Source organism: Homo sapiens, chromosome 7 (genome assembly GCF_000001405.40).
Source record: "Homo sapiens chromosome 7, GRCh38.p14 Primary Assembly".
Taxonomy (NCBI): domain Eukaryota; kingdom Metazoa; phylum Chordata; class Mammalia; order Primates; family Hominidae; genus Homo; species Homo sapiens.
Genome location: NC_000007.14, coordinates 74,792,021 through 74,816,507, shown reverse-complemented (window position 1 = coordinate 74,816,507; position 24,487 = coordinate 74,792,021). Strand labels below are relative to the sequence as shown.

Sequence of the window (24,487 nt, the reverse complement as noted above, 5' to 3'; positions counted from 1 at the left end):
TACAAACTGGGAAGATGAGGCCAGGCACGGTGGCTCACGCCCATAATCCCAGCAATTTGGGAGGCCAAGGTGGGCGGATCACCTGAAGTCAGGAGTTCGAGACCAGCCTGGCCAACATGGTGAAACCCCATGTCTACTGAAAATACAAAAATGAGCTGGGCGTGGTGGTGCATGCCTGTAATCCCAGCTACTCAGGAGGCTGAGGCAGGACAGTTGCTTGAACCCAGGAGGTGGAGGTTGCAGTGAGCCAAGATGGCACCACTGCACTCCAGCCTGGGTGACAGAGCAAGACTGTCTCAAAAAGAAAAGAAAAAAAGAAAAAAGAAAGAACCTGGGAAGATGAAGGGGGTGAGAGTGAGAAGTGATCAGTGTCCCCAGGGGCCGAGTTTCCTTCCTCACTAGCTGTTGGGCTAGATCTGTGGTTCTCACGTGCCTTTGTTGGAGATGTGGTTTCATTTGAACAAAAATATGCTTCCTTATTCACAAAACTTCCTACTGTAGACTTTATAAAGCGATATGGATTGCTACCAGCTGCCAGCAGGCTCCTGAGAGCTGGTCCTCAATTGGTCCTTATTTCTTGTGATATGTGTGTAGCATTTGCTACAAAAACAAACCATCTCCCTGGTTTTAATTTATTTTCTCTTTCTTTCTTTCTTTCTTTCTTTCTTTCTTTCTTTCTTTCTTTCTTTCTTTCTTTCTTTCTTTCTTTCCTTCTTTCTTTCTTTCCTTCTTTCTTTCTTTCTCTCCTTCCTTCCTTCCTTTCTTTCTTTCTTGTCTTGCCAGGCTGGAGTGCAGTGGCACGACCTCAGCTCACTGCAACCTCTGCCTCCCAGGTTCAAGTGATTCTCCTGTCTCAGCCTCCTGAGTAGCTGGAATCATAGGTGCACGCCGTCACACCTGGCTAATTTTTTTGTATTTTAGTAGAGACAGGGTTTCACCGTGTTGCCCAGGCTGGTCTCAAACTCCTGAACTCAGGTAATCCACCCTCCTCGGCCTCCCAAAGTGCTAGGATTACAGACATGAGCCACCGCACCAGGCCAATTTTTTTTTCTTTTCTTGAGACAGAGTCTCGCTGTCGCCCAGACTGGAGTACAGTGGTGTGATCTCAGCTCACTGCAACTTCCGCCCCCCCGGGTTCAAGCGATTCTCCTGCTTCAGCCTTCCGAGTAGCTGGGATTACAGGTGCCCACCACCACACCTGGCTGGTTTTTGTATTTTTAATAGAGACGGGTTTTCACCCTGTTGTTCAGGCTAGTCTCGAACTCCTGACCTTAAATGATCTGCCTACCTTAGCCTCCCAAAGTGCTGGGATTACAGGTCTGAGCCACTGTCCCCAGCTGAAAATCAGATTTTTAAATGTTTAGCTTCACTGTCCTTATACCAACAGAGCTGTTAAAGGTTTTCAGACGACCCCTCAGAACTTATAAATTATGTTAAACAATGAACCCCAAGCTATGCCACAGTTTTTTTGTTTTGCTATTACAAACATTCATGGTTAAATTACATGTACATTTTAGTATCAGTCATCTATTGCTGTATTTAAAAGTACCCCTGAAATGAGGCTGGGTGTGGTGGCTCACGCCTGCAATCCCAGCACTTTGGGAGGCCAAGGCAGGCGGATCACCTGAGGTCAGGAGTTGGAGACCAGCCTGGCCAACGTGGTGAAACCTTGTCTCCACTAAACATACAAAAATTAGCCAGGCGTAGTGGTGCGCATCTGTAGTCCCAGCTACTTGGGAGGCTGAGGCAGGAGAATCACTTGAACCTGGGAGGTGGAGGCTGCAGTGAGCCAAGATCATGCCATTGCACTCCAGCCTGGGCTGGAAAGAGAAGGGGAAGGGCTCCAATGGAATGGAATGGAATATTTAGTCTTTCCTACATTTCTGTGTGTTGGCTGGACTGGCTCAGCAAGGGCCGGATGGCTGTGTGTCTGAGGCCCCGGCTGGGACATCAGGGTCTCTCTCCTTGTGGCCTCATACCCTTTGGAGGCACCCTAGGCTGGCTCCCATGGTGATGAGGTTCTAGAAGCAGCAGGCACAGATGATCAAGCTCTTCTCAAGCCTCTCTTTGCATCCCATCGGCTGATGTCCCATTGACCAAAGCAAGTCACACAGCCAGGGCCAGATTTAAAGGGCAGAGAATGGCCTGGCGCCGTGGTTTACAGCTGTAATCCCAACATTTTGGGAGGCCAAGGCAGGCAAATTGCTTGAGTCCAGGAGTTCGAGACCAGCCTGAGTAACATGGTGAAACCTCATGTCTACAAAAAATACAAAAATTAGGCAGGCGTGGTGATGCATGCCTATAGTCAGCTACTCAGGAGGCTGAGACAGGAGGATCGCTTGAGCCCAGGAGACAGAGGTTGCAGTGAGCCATGATCATGCCACTGCACTCCACTGGGCAACAGAGCAAGACTCTGTCTCAAAAAATAATAACAAAATGGCAGAGAAACAGACTTTACTTCTAGAAAAGAAGCATGGGATAGTCACATTGCAAAGGGATGTACATCCTGGGATGGGAGAGGTCTTGAGCTAATTTTTGCAGCCAACCGCACCCTTCTCTGATAAAGGCATTAGGTTGTACTGATATAGCTTCTCCAGGTTTTGAAATCCATTCCATTATAGTGAGTAAGTTAAGATTATAAGTGCCTAGCCGGGCACGGTGGCTTATGCCTGTAATCCCAGCACTTTGAGAGACCAAGGTGGGTGGGTGGATCACCTGAGGTCAGGAGTTTGAGACCGGCCCGGCCTACATGGTGAAACCCCGTCTTTACTGAAAATACAAAAATTAGCCAGGCATGGTGGCGTGGGCCACTTGGGAGGCTGAGGCAGGAGGGTCACTTGAACCTGGGAGGTGGATGTTGCAGTGAGCCGAGATCATGCCACTGCACTCCAGCCTGGGCAACAGAGTGAGACTCTGTCTCAAAAAAAAAAAAATGGTTATATATGTCAGTTCAGGCTTCATGACAGAAGAATCTTCACAGCATTTCATGTAAATGCACGTGGATATTCAGCCACCCTGAAGGGGAAAATCTCCCAAAACTAGGACTAGAATCAGAACTAAGCTCTCCCGCCTTCACGATGCCTTCCTTCATCCTCCTCTCCTTCCTTTCTTTTTTTTTTTTTTTTTTTTTGAGATGGAGTCTCGCTTTATCAACCAGCTGGAGTGCAGTGGCTCGATCTCAGCTCACTGCAACCTCCACCTCCTGGGTTCAAGCAATTCTCCTGCCTCAGCCTCCCATGTGGCTGGCTACAGGCGTCCGCCACCACTCCCAGCTAATTTTTGTAGTTTTAGTAGAGACAGGGTTTCACCATGTTAGCCAGGTTGGTCTCAAACTCCTGACCTCAAGTGATCTGCCCGCCTCAGCCTCCCAAAGTACTGGTATTGGAGGCGTGAGTCACCGTGCCCGGTCCCCTCCTTCCTTCTTTCCTTTTCTATTGATTTTACAATTGATATTATTTTTATATAAACATACATAAATACACAAATGTATGTTTTCTATATGTATATTATTTTAATTTATAGTATTTCTATTTTTGTATCAAGAGGTCAAATTTGTTCATAGTGAGTGAGCTACAAGTTCTTTTGCTGATTGTAACATTGCTGTATTAATCAACTTATATTAGCTAGTCGTATTTCTTTGTTGGCAAACTTAACCTAACATACAATTTTATCATTTCCATTACATTCCAAGGCATTTCACTGAAAGCAGAAGCTGTCTCAGTCAAGAAAGAATCAGAAGATCCTAATTACTATCAATATAATATGCAAGGTAATACTGTTTGATAATAATTTTCTTCCCCAAAAGTTATTTGGGATGGAAGATTTTAATTACTACCTGTCTGAAAAACTGGCGAGCACCCATGTGTGTTTACCTAGGATCTAGCATGCTGCCATTTAGAGTAAATAATCCTACAGTTATAAAATAGATTCTATTTAGCCTAAATCCACGTACTCTTTTGTTTGTTTTTTTACAGAGATGAGGTCTCACCTTGTTGCCCAAGCTGTTCTCTAACTCCTGGGCTTAAGTAGTCCTCCAGCCTTGGCCTCCAGAAGTGCTGAGATTATAGGCGTGAGCCACCATGCCTGGGCTAAATCCACATACTCTTTTTTTTTTTTGAGACAGAATCTCACTCTGTTGCCCAAGCTGGAGTTCAGTGGCACTATTTCCACTTACTGCAAACTCTGCCTCCTGGGTTCAAATGATTCTTGTGCCTCAGCCTCCCAAGGAGCTGGGATTACAGGCGTGTGCCACCACGCCTGGCTAATTTTTTGTATTATTAGTAGAGACGGGGTTTCGCCATGTTGGCCAGGCTGGTCTCGAACTCCTGACCTCAGGTGATCCACTCACCTTGGCCTCCCAAAATGCTGGGATTACAGGCATGAGCCGCCACACCTGACCCATAAGGCTTTTAAAAAGAAGTCATAAATTGTCACGACTGTCATGATTTTGCACCACCTAATGAAGCAGTGCATCTTGGCAATAATTGTCAGTGGTCATTAAAACCATTTTATAAAAGTCTGATGGGGACTTTATCATGGGCAGACCTGACTGACAGTTCCTGAACTGACTGGTCACTGGTCTCCTGACGGTATCCAGTAGGAAGTACACCACACCACCTTTGTCAAGGATTCTTCCAAAAAAAAAAAAAAAATCAAACCTGGCCAGGTGTAGTGTCTCATACCTGTAATCCCAGCACTTTGGGAGGCCAAGGCAGGTGTATGACTTGAGCCCAGGAGTTCAAAACCAGCCTGGGCAACATGGTGAGACGCCGTCTCTACAAAAAATACAAAAAGTAGCCGGGCATGGTGGCACACACCTGTAGCCCCAGCTACTTGGGAGGCTGAGGTGGGAAGATCGCTTGAGTCTGGGAGGTCAAGGCTGCAGCGAGCTGTGATCACACCACTGCACTCCAGCCTGGGTGCTGGAGTGAGACTCTCTCTCAAAACAACAACAAAACAAAACAAAACAATCAGACCTAAGTCTGATCCAGCCTTTAGATCTAACCAGCAGTTTTTAGGAGATGCATGGAATACAGGCACATATGAAAACATCACCACAAGGATGTAGTCAATAAAATCCAGAATGTGAGAAACTCAGAGAAATTAATTGGTTTATGTTTTTTTTGTTTGTTTTTTTTTAGACAGAGTCTCGCTCTGTCGCCCAGGCTGGAATGCAGTGGCGTGATCATGGCTCACTGCAACCTTCACCTCCCAGGTTCAAGTGATTCTCCTGGCTCGGCCTCAAGAATAGCTGAGATTACAGGCGTGTGCCACCACACTCGGTTGATTTTTGTATTTTTTTGTAGAGAAGGGGTCTCACCATGTTGGCCAGGCTGGTCTCGAACTCCTGACCTCAGGTGATCTGCCCGCCTCCACCTCCCAGAGTGCTGAGATTACAGGCGTGAGCTACCGCGCGCAGCCAGTTTTATTTCAAGGGGTAGAAGTATTTCAGGTGTATTCCTGTGTGGGTATTGACTTGTTTGCATTGTATTCAGTGATTTCTTTTTACATTTTTGTATTTCTCCTTTGTTATATATTATTTATTTTTCTTTCAGGAAGCCACCCTTCTTCCACAAGCAATGAAGTAATAGAAATGGAATTACCAATGGAAGGTTAGAAAAATGCAGCATTTTTTCTCTCTCTTTTAAGAAAAGTTTATAGAAGTTTATAGTATTTTACAAAGAACATACTTTTTTTTTTCTTTTTTGAGACAGAGTCTCGCTCTGTCACCCAGGCTGGAGTGCAGTGGCGCAATCTCGGCTCACTACAACCTCTGCCTCCTGGGTTCAAGCGATTCATGTGCCTCAGCCTCCTGAGTAGCTGCGATTACAGGCGCGTACCACCACGCCCGGCTAATTTTTGTATTTTTAGTAGAGACGGGATTTCACCATGTTGTCCAGGCTGGTCTTGAACTCCTGACCTCAAGTGATCCGTCCACCTCTGCCTCCCATAGTGCTGGGATTACAGGCGTAAGCCACCATGCCCAGCTGAAAGTTTATAGTATTTTACAGAGAACATACTCTTTTATACATGTAAGTTGGAAAATAAGGAAGGTGACTTTCTGGCATGCCTGTCTTCTCAGAAAACTATGAATAGTTGAGCTCTTGCCCTAAGATATAACATGAAGGGCTCTATCACTTCTTGTGCTTCTGATCTGTGAGTGATTCTACTTAAAGCACCCGAATATGGAAGTTAACTTTGCAGTGGTGCTGTTTCTTGCTTTGTCTTTTGGATGGCATGACATAATTCTTTTGGACAGAGTCGAATAGTATTTTAGGAAATCCTTGCATTAGAAGTAAAATTTGATAATACTTCCCTCCATTCATATATAAATCTTGAGCATCATATGAATAAAGCCTAAATTCCTACGGTGGTTTGTGTATGTCCAAGATAAAATTAATAATTTTAAAAAAGGGCCAGGCATGGTGGCTTATGCCTGTAATCTCAGCACTTTGGGAGGCTGAGGTGGGCAGATCACCTGAGGTCAGGAGTTCAAGACCAGCCCGGCCAACATGGTGATACCCTGTCTCTACTAAAAATACAAAAATTAGCCAGGCGTGGTGGCAGGCACCTGTAATCCCAGCTACTCGGGAGGCTGAGGCACGAGGATTGCTTGAAACTAGGAGGCGGAGGCTGCAGTGAGCCGAAATCGCACCATTCCACTCCAGCCTGGGTGACAGAGTGAGACTGTCTCAATAATGATAATAATAATAATAATAATAATAAAGATTTCCTTTCCAAACCTAGAGGCGTGGGACATCTTTGCCATTTACAGGCAATGTGATCTTACTTTTAGTTGTATATATCTGCCTTAGAGAGATAGTGACACATGGACTACCAAAATGATTCTGTTTTTTTTTTTTTTTGAGACAGAATCTCACCCTGTCACCCAGGCTGGAGTGCAGTGTGTCGCGACCTTGGCTCACTGCAGCCTCCACCTCCCGGGCTGAAGCAATTCTCCCTCCTCAGCCTCCTGAGTAGCTGGGATTACAGGCGTGCGCCACCACGCCTGGATAATTTTTGTATTTTTAATAGAGTTGGGGTTTCACCATGTTGCCCAGGCTGGTCTTCAACTCCTGACCTCAAGTGATGCGCCCACCTCGGCCTCCCAAAAGTGCTGGGATTACAGGTGCGAGCCACCGTGCCCGGCCCAGTTACTGTTTATTATCCTATTATTATTGCTTATAAAATTAAAATTATGTTTATATTATTTATATATGAAATATATTTAAAATGCCAGGATAAGCTACTTTTTTGGTATAGGAGCATTAATGTGTTGGAATATGAGGAGAATACTTAATAATGAATGTCATTTTAGACATTTTTTTTTCAAGATTCCACTCCGCTGGTCCCTTCAGAAGAACCAAATGAGGACCCTGAAGCCGAGGTGAAAATCGAAGGTTAGTTGCCCAAAGCCCCATTGCCAAGTATGGTTTTCATTCTTTCTAACAGGATTAATTGCAGGGAGGATGGCAGAGCTCAGTGGCTCAAGCCTGTAATCCCAGCACCTTGGGAGGCCAAGGCAGGTGTATTGCTTGAGCCCAGGAGTTTGAGACCAGCCTGGGAAACATGGCGAAACCCTGTCTCTACTAAAAATACAAAATTAGCCAGGCGTGGTGGTGCATGTCTGTATTTCCAGCTACTTGGGAGGCTGAGACAGGAGGATCGCTTGAACCTGAGAGGCGGAGGTTGCAGTGAGCTGAGATCTCACCACTGTACTGCAGCCTGGGTGACAGAGCGAGATTCCATCTAAAAAAAAAAAAAAATTGTGGGGAAGAGATTGAAATCTCTAATGTAGTATAATGTATATATATAATAGAGCAGCCATTCCCATTAGGGCCCAATGCTTTGAGGTGTTGTAGACAACATAATTAGCTGTGCAAAAAAAAATTAGAAAGAAAAGAAAAATAATAACTAGGCATGATGGTGCATGCTTGTATTCCCAGCACTTTGTGAGGCCAAGGCAAGAAGATCATTTGAACCCTGGAGTTCTAGATCAGACTGGGCAACATAGTGAGACTATCTCTGCAAAAAGTAAACATTAAGAAAAAGTTAGGCAAGGCACAGTGGTTCACGCCTGTAATCCCAGCATTTTGGGAGGCTGAGGTGGGCAGATCACTTGATCCCAGGTGTTTGAGACCAAATTGGGCATAGTGAAACCCTGTCTCTACTAAAAATACAAAAAGTTAGCAGGGCATGGTGGCACACACCTGTAGTCCCAGCTATTCGGGAGACTGAGGTGGGCCAATCACCTGAGCCCAGGGAAGTCGAGGCTGCAGTGAGCCGTAATTGTGCCACAATACTCCAGCCTGGGTGATGGGAGTGAGATCCTGCCTCGAAACAAACTAACAAAAATATCAGCCATGCATGGTGGCATGCATCTGTAGTCTCAGCTACTTGGGAGGCTGAGGTGGGAGGATCGCTTGAGCCCAGGATTTTGAGGCTGCAGTGAGCTGTGATTATGCCCCTGCATTCCAGCATGGTCAACAGAGCAAGACTCCATCTCTAAAAATAAAAATTAAAAAAAAATTTTTTTTTAAGTCTTGCACGTTAGCACTGACCCACAACTGGGCCTCAACTGTGCTGTGTTCACGTGAGGAAAGAATGAAGGGTTGAGGGTACATGAGGGGGGAGAATGGAAAGAAAAGGACGATTCACTCAGACATAGCCCCTTTGCTACTGGAGTGGACAGATAAATATCAAAGGTAACTCCGCAGGCCTGCAGCCGGTGAACTCAGTTGAAGTGCAAGTATCTAAAGGAAGTGAAGTTGAAAGTGTGATTTAAGGCTGGCGTGGTGGGTGGCTCACACCTGTAATCCCAGCACTTTGGGAGACCCAGGTGGGTGAATCCCTTGAGGCCAGGAGTTCAAGACCAGCCTGGCCAACATGGCGAAACTCTGTCTCTACTAAAAATACAAAAATTAGAGCCGGGCGTGGTGGCTCACGCCTGTAATCCCAGCACTTTGGGAGGCCCAGGTAGGTGAATCACTTGAGGTCAGGAGTTCTCAACCAGCATGACCAACACGGTGAAACTCCGTCTCTACTAAAAAAAAAATACAATTATTAACTGGGCATGGTGGTGGGTGTCTGTAATCCCAGCTACTCAGGAGGCTGAGGCACGAGAATCACTTGAACCTGGGAGGCAAAGGTTGCAGTGAGCCGAGATCGCACCACTGCACTCCAGCCTGGGTGATAGACTCAGTCTCAAAAAAAAAAAAAAAAATTAGCCAAGCATGATGGTGCATGTCTGTGGTCCCAGCTACTCACAAGGCTGAGGTGGGAGGATCACTTGACCGTGGGAGGTCGAGGATGCAGTGAGCTAGGATCACACCACTGCACTCCAGCCTGAATGACAGAGTAAGAACCTGTCTCAAAAAAAAAAAAAAAAAGAAAAAAAAATTCAGTCTGGGCTTCTGATCAAAGCAGCACTTAGACATATTTAAAGGAGAATTGGTCTTATTCTTGGTAAATTCTAAACTTCAACTTCTGTTTTAAGGAAACACAAATTCATCCAGTGTTACAAATTCTGCAGCAGGTGTTGAAGATCTTAACATCGTTCAAGTGACTGTTCCAGGTATGGACTAATGTTACATTTTTCCTTTTGTCTTAATTATTTTTTGACATAGGCTGGTCTCTTGGACCTGTCATTTTTCACTTAGTTCACCCTGATAGCTAAGAAATGACATTTCGGGAATATAAAATATTCTGCAAGTTGCTACACAACGAGCATCTTGCTCACATCAGACATTATTAATCGGATATTTTGCTTCTCCTGGACAAGCCCGGGCATTACCTGGAAAATGCATCTCAGAGCAGGCAGCACGGAGCACCAGCTATGGTTGAATTGGAATTGGCCACAGAGGTGAAATGTTTTGTTGCTCATCATTAACAATCTTCTGGCCGGGCACGGTGGCTTACGCCTGTAATCCCAGCACTTTGGGAGGCTAAGACGGGCAGATCACGAGGTCAGGAGATCGAGACCATCCTGGATAACACGGTGAAACCCTGTCTCTACTAAAAATACAAAAAAATTAGCCGGGTGTGGTGGCGAGCACCTGTAGTCCCAGCTACTCGGGAGGCTGAGGCTGAAGAATGGCGTGAACCTGGGAGGTGGAGCTTGCAGTGAGCGGAGATCACACCACTGCACTCCAGCCTGGGTGACAGAGCGAGACTCTGTCTCAAAAAAATAAATAATAATAATAATAATAATCTTCTTTTCTGAATATGTGTATGTAAAATATATCTGGAAAGATACAAGAGAATCTAATTACATAGTTCCTCCAGGGAAGGAAACTGACCGCTGAGATAGGGATAGGAGAGAGACGTTTGAGATGTTTCTGTATATTACTCCTCTTGAATGTTGAGCCATGTGATTGCTTTAGTTATTCAAAAGTAAATAAAGTTTTAAAGTGTTGAAAAATATCTAAAAAATAAAAACAAAAAAAAAGGACCAGGCATGGTGGCATGTGCCTGTAATCTCAGCACTTTGGGAAGCTGAGGCAGGAGGATCACTTGAGCCCAGGAGTTTGAGACCAGCCTGCACAGCACAGTGAGACTCTGTCTCTAAAAAACAAAAAGAAAAGAAAAACAGACCGGGTGCGGTGGCTCACACCTGTAATCCCAGCACTTTGGGAGGCTGAGGCAGGTGGATCACCTGAGGTCAGGAGTTCGAGACCAGCCTGGCCAACATGGTGAAACCCCATCTTTACTAAAAATACAAAAATCAGCTGGTGTGGTGGTGGGTGCCTGTAATCCCAGCTACTTGGGAGGCTGAGGCAGGAGAATTGCTTGAACCCAGGAGGGGTGCAGTGAATTGCTTGAACCCAGGAGTTTGCAGTGAGCCAAGATTGTACCATTGTACTCCAGCCTGGGTGACAAGAGCAAAACTCAGCCTCAAAACAAAACAAAACAAAACAAACAAACAAAAAAAGAGAGGAAAAAAAGGAAAGAAAATAAAAATATACCTTACCTTCTAATCCTAGTACCTCTTATTCCTTTTACTTGTCATATTTCATTGGCTAAGATTTCTATTTTAAGGCCGAAAAGTGGTGGTGAAAGTAAACATCCTTGTCTTTTTTTTTTTTTTTTTTTTTTTGAGACGGAGTCTTGCTCTGTCACCCAGGCTGGAGTGCAGTGGCGCGATCTCGGCTCACTGCAAGCTCCGCCTCCTGGGTTCACGCCATTCTCCTGCCTCAGCCTCCCGAGTAGCTGGGACTACAGGCGCCTGCCACCATGCCCGGCTAAATTTTTGTATTTTTAGTAGAAACGGGGTTTCACCATGTTAGCCAGGATGGTCTCAATCTCCTGACCTCGTGATCCACCTGCCTCGGCCTCCCAAAGTGCTGGGATTACAGGCGTGAGCCACCGCGCCTGGCCCTAAACATCCTTGTCTTGTATGATATTGAAAATATTCCTTAAAAGTAGTATGTAGTATGTTTATATAGGGTTATAATTTGGAAAATTCTCTATTGTCTGTAATGGCTTCCATTTCCAAATTTCCAAGATGCTTAATTATTGCTAAAAGTAGACTGAATAACAATCCAGGTAAAGCACTTTCTCGGGTGCTAACAGGCATTTCTCCCAACAGCTTTCTTGGGAGAAAATACATTAATAACCTTGGTTTGTTTATTTGTTTAATTATTTTTAGATAATGAGAAGGAAAGATTATCAAGCATTGAAAAGATTAAACAGCTAAGAGAACAAGTTAATGACCTCTTTAGCCGAAAATTTGGTAAGTTTTTATATCTTTTTATATCCAGAATTCATATACCTAAAATACTTCTTTTTAAAAGAATACTTGGCCAGGTGCATTGGCTCATACCTGTAATCCTAGCACTTTAGGAGGCTAAGGCTAGAGAATCACTTGAGCCCAGGAGTTTGAGACCAGCCTGGGCAGCAAAGTGACACCCCAGGTCTACAAAAGGAAAAAAACAAAACTTTATCTTATAAGAATTTGATCTTGGCTGGGCGCAGTGGTTCACACTTTTAATCCCAGCACTTTGGGAGGCCAAGGTGTGTGGATCACTTGAGGCCAGGAGTTCAAGTCCAGCCTGGCCAACATGGCAAAATCCCATCTCTACTAAAAATACAAAAAAATTAGCCGGGTGTGGTGGCGCACACCTGTAATCCCAGCTACTCAGGAGGCTGAGGCACGAGAATCGGTTGTAACTGGGAGGCAGAGGTTGCAGTGAGCTTAGATCGCGCTATTGCACTCCAGCCTGGGCGACAGAGTGAGACCCTGTCTCAAAAAAAAAAAAAAAAAAAGAAATTGATCTTTTTGTGAAAGAGCTATGATAAAAATTAGTCAATATGTCTTTTTACAGAAGAGCTTTTGCATGGTATCATTGACTAATTACAATAATAATAATAATAGCTATCTTTGTTTTACTGAGTGCTTACCTTGTATATTATTTTTTGTGCTCAACATGTGTTTGATCATTTAATCCTCACATAAAACCTTTCAGGTAGGCGCCATGATAACCCTGTGTAATGGATGGAGGAACTGAGTTTGCCTACTACCCATGCTAATTCCAAACTTTTAAAATTATATTCACACATCATAGTAGCACTGGAAAATAAAATGACTGATCATAAGTATTGTCATTTGATGCTTCTAAATCCTGACATTAAAGAAAAATCCTGGTTTAGGAAACGTAAGGAACAAACTCAGCTAGTTTTATTTGTGTTGTTGTTTTTTTAATTTGTTGTTTTGTTTTGTGTTTTGTTTTGAGGCAGGGTCTCGCTCTGTCTCTCAGGCTGGAGTGCAGTGGGGCGATCTCGGCTCACTGCAACTTCTGCCTCCTGGGTCCCTCCCATGTGGCTGGGATTACAGGCATGCGCCACCACGCCCAGCTAATTTTTGTATTTTTAGTAGAGACAGGGTTTCACCATGTTAGCCAGGCTGGTCTCGAACTCCTGGCCTCAAGTGATTCACCCGCCTCAGTCTCCCAGAGGGCTGGGATTACAGGTGTGAGCCACCGTGCCCAGCCAAACTCAGCTGGTTTTATGCTGCTCATCCCGTCACAGGTGAAGCAATTGGCGTGGATTTCCCTGTGAAAGTTCCCTACAGGAAGATCACATTCAACCCTGGCTGTGTGGTGATTGATGGCATGCCCCCGGGGGTGGTATTCAAGGCCCCCGGCTATCTGGAAATCAGTTCCATGAGGAGGATCTTGGAGGCAGCTGAGTTTATCAAATTCACAGTCATCAGGTAAGTGAGTCAAGAGAAGGAATCTGGAGACTCTGACTTGCCCGAGGTGGGCATGTGGCTGCCCAGGAATGTCTGTCCCATGACTTGGGCTGGGGGTTTGTTCCCGCAGCTGACCGCTGGGCCATGCTGCCTCTCACACTGACTTCATCATCTTCTGCTTCCTTGAGATGTGTCCATGTCCCTGTTCCTCGGTGATCATGGGCAGCCCGTCCCAGTTTTAGCTCACACAGCACCTAGCGTAGAGTTGATACTCTGCAAAAATTTGTCCAATAAAACTAAGTGGGGCCAGGCACGGTGGCTCACGCCTGTAATCCCAGCACTTTGGGAGGCTGAGGCGGGCCAGATCGCCTGAGGTCAGGAGTATGAGGCAAGCCTGGCCAACATGGTGAAACCCCGTTGCTACTGAAAATACAAACATTAGTCGGGTGTGGTGGCGTGCGCCTCTAATACCAGCTACTCAGGAGGCTGAGGCGTGAGAATCACTTAACCTGGGAGGTGGAGGTTGCAGTGACCTGAGATGGCACCACTGCACTCCAGCCTGGGCAGCAGAATGAGCCTCCATCTCAAAACATAAATAAATAGGCCGGGCATGGTGGCTCAGGCCTGTAATCCCAGCATTTTAGGAGGCTGAGGCAGGTGGATCATTTGAGGTCAGGAGTTTGAGACCAGCCTGGCCAACATGGTGAAACTCCATCTCTACTAAAAATAAACATTAGCTGGGTGTAGTGGTACGTGCCTGTAATCCCAGCTACTCAGGAGAATCACTTGAACCTGGAATGTGGAGGTTGCAGTGAGCCCAGATGACACCACTGCACTCCAGCCTGGGTGATGGAGTGAGACTCCGTCTCAAAAAAAACAAAAACAAAAGGCTCAACGCAGTGGCTCATGCCTGTAATCCCAGCACTTTGGGAGGCCAAGGTAGGTAGATCTCCTGATGTCAGGAGTTCAAGAGTAGCCTGGCCAACATGGTGAAACTAAAAATACAAAAAATTAGCTGGGCGTGGTGGCGGGCACCTGTAATCCCAGCTACTCAGGCGGCTGAGGCAGGAGAATGGCTTGAACCCAGGAGGCGGAGGTTGCGCTAAGCCGAGATCGCGCCACTGCACTCCAGCCTGGGTGACGCGGCGAGACTCTTGTCTCAAAAAAAACAAAAACAAAACAAACAAATAAATAAATATTCTTCTGTAAAAAAATAAATAAGTAAAAATTAAAAAAAAATAAAACTAAGTGGGCAAAAGAGGAAATGTGAGCTTGTCACATTTATCAATGTGTCTTTCTCTTCAGGCCGCTTCCAGGGCTTGAGCTCAGTAATGGTGAGTATTCTACAGGTGAGAAGAACGTTCCGGCAATGTTGGGCCATGGGAAGTGTCTTGGTGGGCGCTCACCACGGGGTTTTTGCTTCCGTGAGCCTGGGACCCAAGTATGCAGCCTTCGATGCATGCTTTATTTTTCCTGCATGTGATAAAGTTAGATAACTCTGTTACTTGAGTTTGATTAACCAGTCTGAAGGAGAGTGATCTATATCACACCATGAGTGTGACGTGTGATGTGGCGCACTCTTTTTTTTTTTTTTGGAGACGGAGTCTCGCTCTGTCACCCAGGCTAGAGTGCAATGGCACAATCTCGGCTCACCACACAACCTCCGCCTCCCGGGTTCAAGTGATTCTCCTGCCTCAGCCTCCCGAGTAGCTGGGACTATAGGCGTGTGCCACCACGCCTGGCTAATTTTTGTATTTTTAGTAGAGATGGGGTTTTGCCATGTTGGCCAGGCTGGTCTTGAACTTCTGACCTCAAGGGATCTGCCCGCCTCCACCTTCCAAAGTGCTGGGATTACGGGCATGAGCCACCACGCATGGCTGATGTGGCACACTATTCAAGTGTGCTTTGTGGTGGGGGCTCCCCTGAGGCCACCCGCACAGCTGCACTCAGGATCACAGTACCGATCTCCTCTGTGTTAGTTGGTAAATAGTGCCTGCCTGGCCATGCAGTCCCACCCTAGTACCCTCCGACCGTGGCTTGACCTCCCTACAGTGCTGAAGCAAAAGGGGTTCCACCTGGCACAGCAGAGGCCCCTAGAACCCTTCCAGTGCTGAGACTAGCATCTGTTCTTTTTTTTTTCTTTTTTTTTTTTTTTGAGACAGAGTCTCGCTCTCTCACCCAGGCTGGAGTGCAGTGGCAAGATCTCGGCTCACTGCAACCTCCGCCTCCCGGGTTCAAGCGATTCTCTGCCTCAGCCTTCCGATTAGCTGGGATTACAGGTGCGTGCCGCCACATCCAGCTACTTTTTGTATTTTTTAGTAGAGACAGGGTTTAGCCATGTTGGCCAGGCTGGTCTCAAACTCGTGACCTCAAGTGATCCACCCGCCTTGGTCTCCCAAACTGCTGGGATTACAGATGTAAGCCACTGCACCTGGCTCAGCATCTGTTCTGATTGAGCAATGCCCAGGCACTCTGCTTCTGAAATATTCTCTTTTTTTTCCCCTTCAACTTTTATTTTAAGTTCCAGGGTCCATGTGCAGGATGTGCAGGTTTGTTACACAGGTAAACGTGTGCCATGGTGGTTTGCTGCACCTATCAACCCATCACCTAGGTATTAAGCCCAGCATGCATTAGCTATTCTTCCTGATGCTCTCCCTCCCCCCGCCCCCACCCTGTTAAATATTCTTAATGTCTTCCCCGGAGCCCTTGCAAGTGAGTCAGTATCCTGTCAAGTAGAATACGGAGAGGTGTTCTCACGAGCATGAGTCACCAGGGAACCTCCTAATGTAACATTTGAAAACCAAAGTAGGCTGGGCGCGGTGACTCACACCTGTAATCCCAGCACTTTGGGAGGCCGAGGCGCGCGGATCATGAGGTCAGGAGATGGAGACCCTTCTGTACAACGTGGTGAAACTCCGTCTCTACTAGAAATACAAAAATTAGTCGGGCATGGTGGCGCGTGCCTATAATCCCAGCTACTCGGGAGGCTGAGGCAGGAAAATCACTTGAACCAGGGAGTCGGGGGTTGCAGTGAGCCGAGATCGTGCCACTGCACTCCAGTTTGGTGACAGAGCAAGACTCTGTCTCAAAAAAAAAAAAAAAGAAAAGAAAAGAAAACCAAAGTATCCTATTAAAATGCTCCATTTTTATTCCCAAACGCATCTGATTGCTAAATGATTTTTTGATCTTTTATAATATCTTTATTTATTTATTGTATTATTATTGGGGTTTTTTAGAGACAAGGTCTCACTCTGTCACCCAGGCTGGAGTGCAGTGGCATGATCATAGCTCACTGCAGCCTGGAACTCCTGCCCTCAGGTGATTCTCCCACCTTCACCTCCCGAGTAACTGGGACAGCACTGCCATGCCCAGATAATTTTTTTTTTTTTTTTTTTTTGTAGAGACAGGGTCTCACTATGTTTCCCAGGCTGGCCTTGAGCTTCTGGCTTCAAGCGATCCTCCTGCCTCAGCCTCCCAAAGTGCTGGGATTATAGGCATGAGCCGCTGTACATGGCCTACATTTTCTTAAGGTGCACTTTTATGTGTGTGTACTCTGGAAATACCTTGATTACCTGCAGGGTGGCCAGGTTCTTTAAATCTAAAACACTAGCCCCTGTACACTCGAACACACTTATACGAATGAGTTTTGTGTGGTTCTGTGGCCGTCACCCTTGTCATTTGAGACTCACAGTAGGTAAAAATCATATGCCTTTCTGTGCTCATTCCCATCTCTGTTATTACAAAGTTTTCTTGGGAATCAAATGAGAAAATATATTAAAATGCTCACACCTATAATCCCAGGACTTTTGGAGGCCAAGGCAAGAGGATTGCTTGAGGCCAGGAGTTTGAGACCAGCCTGGGCAACATAGCAAGACCCCATCTCTACAAAAAATTTAAAAATTAGCTGGAAACAGTGGCTCACACCTGTAGCCCCAGCTACTTGGCAGGCTAAAGCAGGAGGATCACTTAAACTCAGGAGTTTGAGACAGCAGAGAACCATAATTGCAATACTACACTCCAGCCTGGGTGACAGAACAAGACCCTGTCTCTAAAAAGAAAATGCAAACATATTATCAAATAATTCCTGTTTAAACTGGACATAACAAGCACAGCTACATGCTGAACCTCATCAAAGGTGTCTTTTGTTTGGCTCATGTACTTTTGAAAATAAGGATGAGGCCTGGCACGGTGGCTCCTGTAATCCCAGCACTTTGGGAGGCCAAGGCGGGTGGATCGCTTGAGCCTGGGGTTTCAGACCAGCCTGGGCAACAAGGTAAGACTCCAGCTCTACAAAAAAAAAAAAAAAAGAAAAAGAAAAAAAGAAAAGAAAGAAAGAAAGAAAAGATAGCTCGGTGTGGTGCATGCCTGTAGTCCCAGCAACTGGGAGCTGAAGTGGGAGGATCACCTGAGCCCAGGGAGTTCCAGGCTGCAATGAGTCATTATCACCACAAACCAGGCACTCTTTCATAAAAGTCAATCTTCAGGTTTTCTTTAGAAAACCTGAAGATCTGGCTGGGTGCAGTGGCTCATGCTTGTAATCCCAGCACTTTGGGAGGCTGAGGTGGGCGGATCACCTGAGGTCAGGAGTTCGAGACCAGCCTGGACAACATGGTGAAATCTCATCTCTACTAAAAATACAAAAATTAGCTGGGCGTGGTGGCAGGCACCTGTCATAACAGCTACTCAGGAGGCTGAGGCAGAAGAATCGCTTGAACCCAGGAGGCAGAAGTTGCAGTGAGCCGAGATTGCGCCACTGCACTGCAGCCTGGGCGACAGAGCAAAACTCCGTCTCAACAACAACGACAACAAAAATTCAGTCTTCAGGTTTTCTTTAGAAAACTTGAAGATCTGGCCACAGCTGGCATCCTGGCAGCGGTTTGCTGGAGTTGAGGGTCAGCCGTCCCTCTGCAGGGTGGGTCACCCTCCTGTTAACCACGCCCTGCCCCGCCCCGCTTCCTCCCTCTCGTGCGTCATCAAGCATTTGCTGTTGTTTTCCTCATAGTAGTGATAAGAGAAAAGTGAAATATCTTTGTCTCCCTGTCTCTGTCAAAAGTGGGAAAACGCAAGATAGACCAGGAGGGCCGTGTGTTTCAAGAAAAGTGGGAGAGAGCGTATTTCTTCGTGGAAGTACAGAATATTCCAACATGTCTCATATGCAAACAAAGCATGTCTGTGTCCAAAGAATATAACCTAAGACGCCACTATCAAACCAATCACAGCAAGCATTATGACCAGTATATGGAAAGAATGCGTGACGAGAAGCTTCACGAGCTGAAAAAAGGGCTCAGGAAGTATCTCTTAGGCTCATCAGACACCGAGTGTCCCGAGCAAAAACAAGTGTTTGCAAACCCAAGTCCAACCCAGAAATCCCCCGTGCAGCCTGTAGAGGACCTAGCTGGGAACTTATGGGAGAAGTTACGTGAAAAAATCAGGTCTTTTGTGGCATATTCTATCGCAATCGATGAGATCACGGATATAAATAATACCACCCAGTTGGCCATATTCATCCGTGGTGTCGATGAGAATTTCGATGTGTCCGAAGAACTTCTGGACACGGTGCCCATGACGGGTACAAAATCTGGCAACGAGATCTTTTCGCGTGTTGAGAAAAGCCTGAAAAACTTCTGTATCGACTGGTCGAAATTAGTAAGCGTGGCCTCCACTGGCACCCCAGCGATGGTGGATGCCAATAACGGGCTTGTCACAAAACTGAAGTCCAGGGTGGCGACGTTCTGCAAGGGTGCGGAACTGAAGTCCATCTGTTGTATAATTCATCCGGAATCACTCTGTGCTCAGAAGTTGAAGATGGACCACGTCATGGACGTGGTAGTGAAGTCCGTGAACTGGATATGCTCCCGGGGACTGAACCACAGTGAGTTCACAACCTTGCTCTATGAGCTGGACAGCCAGTATGGTAGCCTCCTGTACTACACGGAGATTAAGTGGCTCAGTCGCGGGCTCGTGCTAAAGAGATTTTTCGAATCCTTGGAAGAAATCGACTCCTTCATGTCATCCAGAGGGAAACCCCTGCCTCAACTGAGCTCCATAGATTGGATCCGAGACCTGGCCTTCTTGGTTGACATGACGATGCATCTGAACGCTTTGAACATCTCTCTCCAAGGACACTCCCAAATCGTCACGCAGATGTATGACCTGATCCGGGCGTTCCTAGCAAAACTGTGCCTCTGGGAGACTCATTTGACGAGGAATAATCTGGCCCACTTTCCCACCCTGAAATTGGCTTCCAGAAATGAAAGCGATGGCCTGAACTACATTCCCAAAATCGCGGAACTCCAGACCGAATTCCAGAAAAGGCTGTCTGATTTCAAACTCTACGAAAGCGAACTGACTCTGTTCAGCTCCCCGTTCTCCACGAAGATCGACAGTGTGCACGAGGAGCTCCAGATGGAGGTTATCGACCTGCAATGCAACACGGTCCTGAAGACGAAATACGACAAGGTGGGAATACCAGAATTCTACAAGTACCTCTGGGGTAGCTACCCGAAATACAAGCACCATTGCGCAAAGATTCTTTCCATGTTCGGGAGCACCTACATCTGCGAACAGCTGTTCTCCATTATGAAACTGAGCAAAACAAAATACTGCTCCCAGTTAAAGGATTCCCAGTGGGATTCTGTACTCCACATCGCAACGTGATGGAGAGAAAACTCCTGGCAGGGCCCTATGGTGGGAAAGGCTGGAGTCTTCTAGTCCCAAGGGATTGGGAGATGACAAAATGAATTTTTTTTTCTTTTTTGAGATGGAGTCTTGCTCTGTCGCCCAGGTTGGAGTGCAGTGGCGTGATCTCGGCTTACTGCAACTTCCAGCTCCTGGGTTCGAACGATTCTCCTGCCTCAGCCTCCCGAGCAGCTGGGACTACAGGCGTGCGCCACCATGCCTGGCTAATTTTTGTATTAGTAGAGATGAGGTTTCACCATGTTGGCCAGGCTGGTCTCCAACTCCTGACCTCAGGTGATCCACCTGCCTCGACCTCACAAAGTGCTGGGATTACAGGCATGAACCACTGTGCCCAGCTGACAAAATGAGTTCTTAAACTTTTTTTTTTTTCAGTTTTTTTTCCACTTTGAATCAGAAATATAATCTGCAGTATCATACTTGTTTATATTACATTGTATGCCTCACTATTCATTAAAAATCAAGAAAGTTTTATTGTATTATTGGTAGTTGACTTTTCTTATGCCTGGCTTGTTTCATTCATTCACATTACCTGCCTGCCACCCTGATAGGCACTGTAGTTGGCATCTTGAAGTTTAAATCAATCAACAGAGAAATAGGGAGAGAGACGTGTATATTTGCTTTTTGGTTTTGGGGGTTCTTTTTTTGAGGCGGAGTCTCACTCTGTTACCCAGGCTGGAGTACAATGGGGCGATCTGGGCTCACTGCAGCCTCTGCCTCCGGGGTTCAAGTGATTCCCCTGCCTCAGCCTCCCGAGTAGCCGGGGTTACAGGTGCCCACCACCACGCCCGGCTCATTTTTGTATTTTTAGTAAAGATAGGGTTTCACCATGTTGGCCAGGCTGGTCACAAACTCCTGACCTCAAGTGATCTGCCGGCCTTGGCCTCCCAAAGTGCTGGAATTACAGGCGTGAGCCACTGCGCCCAGCCTGAGACATGTATATTTGTGGAGGAGTATATATGAACACACATTTATCCCCCGTTCCCGTCCGCGTGGTATCCCACATGGTCTAATACGTTTCCAAGTTTCAGGAGAAATAGTTGAAAACATACTGACATACAATAATCCTATGTTATCTGTCTCTGCCTTCACCTGGAACCAGAAAGGTCAGGTTTAAAATGGAAAAACCCAGAGCCAGAAAGGTCAGGTTTAAAATGGAAAACCCCAGAGCAAATAACGTAGACTTTGTCTATAAAAGTTAGACAAAGTAAGTTAAGGTTTAGAGGGGTTTTTTTGTTTGTTTTTTACTATGAATAGTTACCGAAAAGTTGTGGCCAAGCATGTGGCTCACACCTGTAATCCCAGCACTTTGGGAGGCCAAGGTGGGTGGATCACTTGAGGTCAGGAGTTCGAGACCAGCCTGGGTAACATGGTGAAACCCTGTCTCTACTAAAAACACAAAAATTTGCCGGGTATGGTGGCACGTGCCTGTAATCCCAGCTACTCAGGAGGCTGAGGCAGGAGAATCACTTGAACCCAGGAGACAGAGGTTGCAGTGAGCCGAGATTGTGCCATTGCACTCCAGCCTGGGCGACAGAGTGAGACTTTGTCTCAAAAAAAAAAAAAAAGAAAAGTTGCAAAAATAAAAATAGTATGGAAAATACTCACATGCCCTTTAGCCAGACTCTCAATTGTTAACATTTCACCCTTGTTTCATTATTGGATCACTTTGTCTCCCTACCCCCTTCCCTCCTTCTCCCTCTCACTCATATGTGTGTATGTGTATCTATAATCAGTACCTATGGTAAGTGTGTATAAGCAAATGTCTATGAGTATCCATGATATGTGTATAAATGGATGTTCATTTTTTTCCTGGACCGTTCAAGGGAAAGTTACGTATATCATTTACCCCTAAATACTTCAGTGAGTATTTTCAGAGAACAGGGATATTCTCTTACACAATAACGTTTCCTTTACCAACTTCAGTAAATTGAACGTTGTTGCAATTATTTTATCCAGTTTACTGTTCATACTCTAGTTTTCTCTGTTGACCCAATAATATCTTTCCCTTTTTTATTTTTGGAAACAAGGAAATCGGCTCGCTCTGTCACCCAGGCTGGAGTGCAGTGGTGCGACCTTGGCTTACTGCAACCTCTGCTTCCTGGGTTCAAGTGATCCTCCCACCTCAGCCTTCCAAGTAGCTGGGACTACAGGTGCATGCTACCATGCCCAGCTAATTTTTGTGGAGTTTTTTGTGGTTTTTTTTTTTTTTTTTTTTTTTTTTTTGTAGAGACAGGGTCTCCCTTTGTTGCCCAGGCTGGTCTCAAACTTCCAGGCTCAAGCGATCTACTCGCCTCAGCTTCCCAAAGTGATATCTTTCCCTTTATAGCATTTTTCTCCTGGCAGGTTGTCATTTGAAGGTGTGTGTGTGTGTGATCTCTATTAGTCACTGGAATTAGTGACACAAAATTGTGAATACTTTCCAGATTGGGGGAATTCACGCGACCAGCGTGGAGGAAGGCTGTGGATCTCCACCTAATGACCCACTCAGGAAGCAATGGAGAATAGGACTTTGATAAAAATGACAGGGGGTGCAGGAGAGAGAGAGCAACCCCCAGGCCAGGAGCCCAGTTGGAGCCCAGGTGCCTATCCTTAGACACAGGGAAATGACCCCACTCCAGGCAGTTCCTGTCGTTGACTTCAGGTACAGCTGGCTCTGGCAAGCTCAGCGCTCTTTTGGAGAAGGAATCCCAGATAGGCTGGTTTATAACGGGAGTTGGAGGGGAGTCCAGGTCTTGGTGGAAGTGAGCACTCGTTCACACCACATATCAGAGGTGTGGCCGAGCAGCAGGACCAGAGCAGCCCCCTTTCATAGACGGGAAGCTGAAGCTCAGAGTGGCTAAGTGGCTCGCTCCAGGTCACGCAGCCATTATAGGAGTTGTCAGGATTCAAACCAGGGTCCATGTGACTCCAAAGTCCATGTGCTTCACTTTTTGTTTTTGAGATGGAGTGTCGCTCTGTCGCCCAGGCTGGAGTGCAGTGGTGTGATCTTGGCCCAGTGCAACCTCCGCCTCTCGGGTTCTAGTGATTCTCGTGCCTCAGCCTCCCGAGTAGCTGGGACTACAGGCATGCGCCACCACAACCGAATAATTTTTGTATTTTTTAGTAGAGACGGGGTTTCACCATGTTGGCCAGGCTGATCTTGAACCCCTGACCTCAAGTGATCCACCCGCCTTGGCCTCCCAAAGTGCTGGGATCACAGGTGTGAGCCACGACACCTGGCCCATGTGCTTCATTCCTAAGCAGCCACTGTGCCTGACATGGAGACCCAGCAGGTATCTGTCATGCAGCCTCTGCCCTCATCATCTGTCATGTGTGTGGCTCCCTGGTGGTCCACCAATCAGATGATAGGGAGGGGACAGTAGGGCTCAGCCTAGGCTGCCTCCTGTTGGCCGGACCATTCATGAAGCTGTTCTGCTTTGAATCAATTCCCAAGGCCCCAGGAATGTGTGTTGGGACCAGGATGGCTTGAGATATGATGGCCACTGACATGCACTGTCACTCATAGGACTGAGTTGAGACTGTGGGAATGACTGAATGGCTGGGAAAGGTTTTTCGTTTGTTTTTTTGAGACGGAGTCTTGCTCGGTTGCCCAGGCTGGAGCGCAGTGGCACGATCTCAGCTCACTGTAACCTCTGCCTCCCGAGTTCAAGCAATTCTCCTACCTCAGCCTCCCGAGCAGCTGGGATTACAGGCGCCCCCCACCACACCCAGCTAATTTTTGTATTTTTAGTAGAGACGGGGTTTCACCATGTTGGCCAGGCTGATCTGGAACTCCTGACCTCAGGTGATCCACCCAACTCAGCCTCCCAAAGTGCTGGGATTACAGGCGTGAGCCACCAAGCCTGGCCAGGAGAGGTTTTTAGTAGGGCAATGGGGTGTCTGCAAACGAGAGCCCTTGAGAGTGGTGTGGTCCAGGGAGATGGGCAGGGGCCCAGCCTAGGAGTAGGGGCTAGATTTGGTGGGTCTTTGTCAATTTTCAGGGGCAGGGATTGCACTGCATCTATCCCAAGTCCCCGACTTCTCATCCCAGGATGGGCAGAGGAAAGAGCCAATCTCTCCTCCAACACAGGCCCTGGGACTAGGGGTCTGCAGAGGGCCCTGGAAGCCAGACCCCCTCACACTTGGCCTGGCACGTACCTGTGTGCCGTATTCCCTCCTCTGAGCCGCAGGCCTGAACCACAGATCCTGAGCTCTGCAGGGTCAGGATAAAGTACTGGATCTGGAAGGCCTTAGAATCAAAAAGAAAAGCCTGGGCCAGCCGCAGTGGCTCATGCCTGTAATCCCACCACTTTGGAAGGCCAAGGCAGGCGGATTACCTGAGGTCAGGAGTTCAAGACCAGCCTGGCCAACATGGTGAAACCTCATCTCTACTAAAAATACAAAAAATTAGCTGGGCAGGGTGGCGGGCACCTGTAATCCCAGCTACTCGGGAGGCTGAGGCAGGAGAATCACTTGAACCCGGGAGGCAGAGGTTGCAGTGAGCTGAGGTCGCTCCATTGTACTCCACCTGGGTGACAAGAGCGAAACTCCATCAAAAAAAAAAAAAAGAAGAAGAAAAGAAAAACCCGGTTCCACCTCCCAGCACTGTTGCTTTCTTGC

General features: G+C 46.7%; 1 protein-coding gene across 23 annotated transcripts in view, besides 5 other annotated features; it reads left to right on the top strand.

Annotated features, from left to right (window-relative positions):
- Window positions 1-13,135: part of a non allelic homologous recombination region, noted in NCBI's record as "sub-region SSN9'-SSN11', recombines with sub-region SSN9-SSN11 within the WBS centromeric block B recombination region", that runs on past the window's edge. NCBI's record gives the evidence for it as "EXISTENCE:restriction fragment detection evidence [ECO:0001124][PMID:12796854]".
- The window catches only part of GTF2IRD2 (GTF2I repeat domain containing 2), a 55,455-nt gene extending 35,098 nt beyond the window's left edge, over window positions 1-20,357 (top strand). For 5 of the 23 annotated variants that reach the window (NR_170886.1, NR_170881.1, NM_001388083.1 and 2 more), the window contains 8 exons: window positions 3,692-3,769; window positions 5,556-5,612; window positions 7,335-7,400; window positions 9,497-9,574; window positions 11,648-11,731; window positions 13,027-13,210; window positions 14,495-14,523; window positions 18,243-20,357. Coding sequence is in view for 15 of the 23 variants with exons in the window: in NM_001388083.1 (NP_001375012.1) it covers window positions 3,692-3,769; window positions 5,556-5,612; window positions 7,335-7,400; window positions 9,497-9,574; window positions 11,648-11,731; window positions 13,027-13,210; window positions 14,495-14,523; window positions 18,243-19,846 (2,180 nt within the window). In the remaining 8 variants the exon portion in view is untranslated. Of the gene's footprint in view, window positions 1-3,691; window positions 3,770-5,555; window positions 5,613-7,318; window positions 7,401-9,496; window positions 9,575-11,647; window positions 11,732-13,026; window positions 13,211-14,494; window positions 14,539-18,242 lie in introns of all 23 variants that reach the window. The other 18 variants (NR_170885.1, NR_170887.1, NM_001388079.1 and 15 more) reach the window with 13 other exon arrangements.
- Window positions 1-24,487: part of a biological region, named in NCBI's record as "Williams-Beuren syndrome medial block B recombination region", that runs on past both edges of the window. NCBI's record gives its function as "recombination_partner: LOC106029311 | LOC106029313".
- Window positions 13,136-19,843: a non allelic homologous recombination region, noted in NCBI's record as "sub-region SSN7'-SSN9', recombines with sub-region SSN7-SSN9 within the WBS centromeric block B recombination region". NCBI's record gives the evidence for it as "EXISTENCE:restriction fragment detection evidence [ECO:0001124][PMID:12796854]".
- Window positions 19,844-24,349: a non allelic homologous recombination region, noted in NCBI's record as "sub-region SSN6'-SSN7', recombines with sub-region SSN6-SSN7 within the WBS centromeric block B recombination region". NCBI's record gives the evidence for it as "EXISTENCE:restriction fragment detection evidence [ECO:0001124][PMID:12796854]".
- Window positions 24,349-24,487: part of a non allelic homologous recombination region, noted in NCBI's record as "sub-region SSN3'-SSN6', recombines with sub-region SSN3-SSN6 within the WBS centromeric block B recombination region", that runs on past the window's edge. NCBI's record gives the evidence for it as "EXISTENCE:restriction fragment detection evidence [ECO:0001124][PMID:12796854]".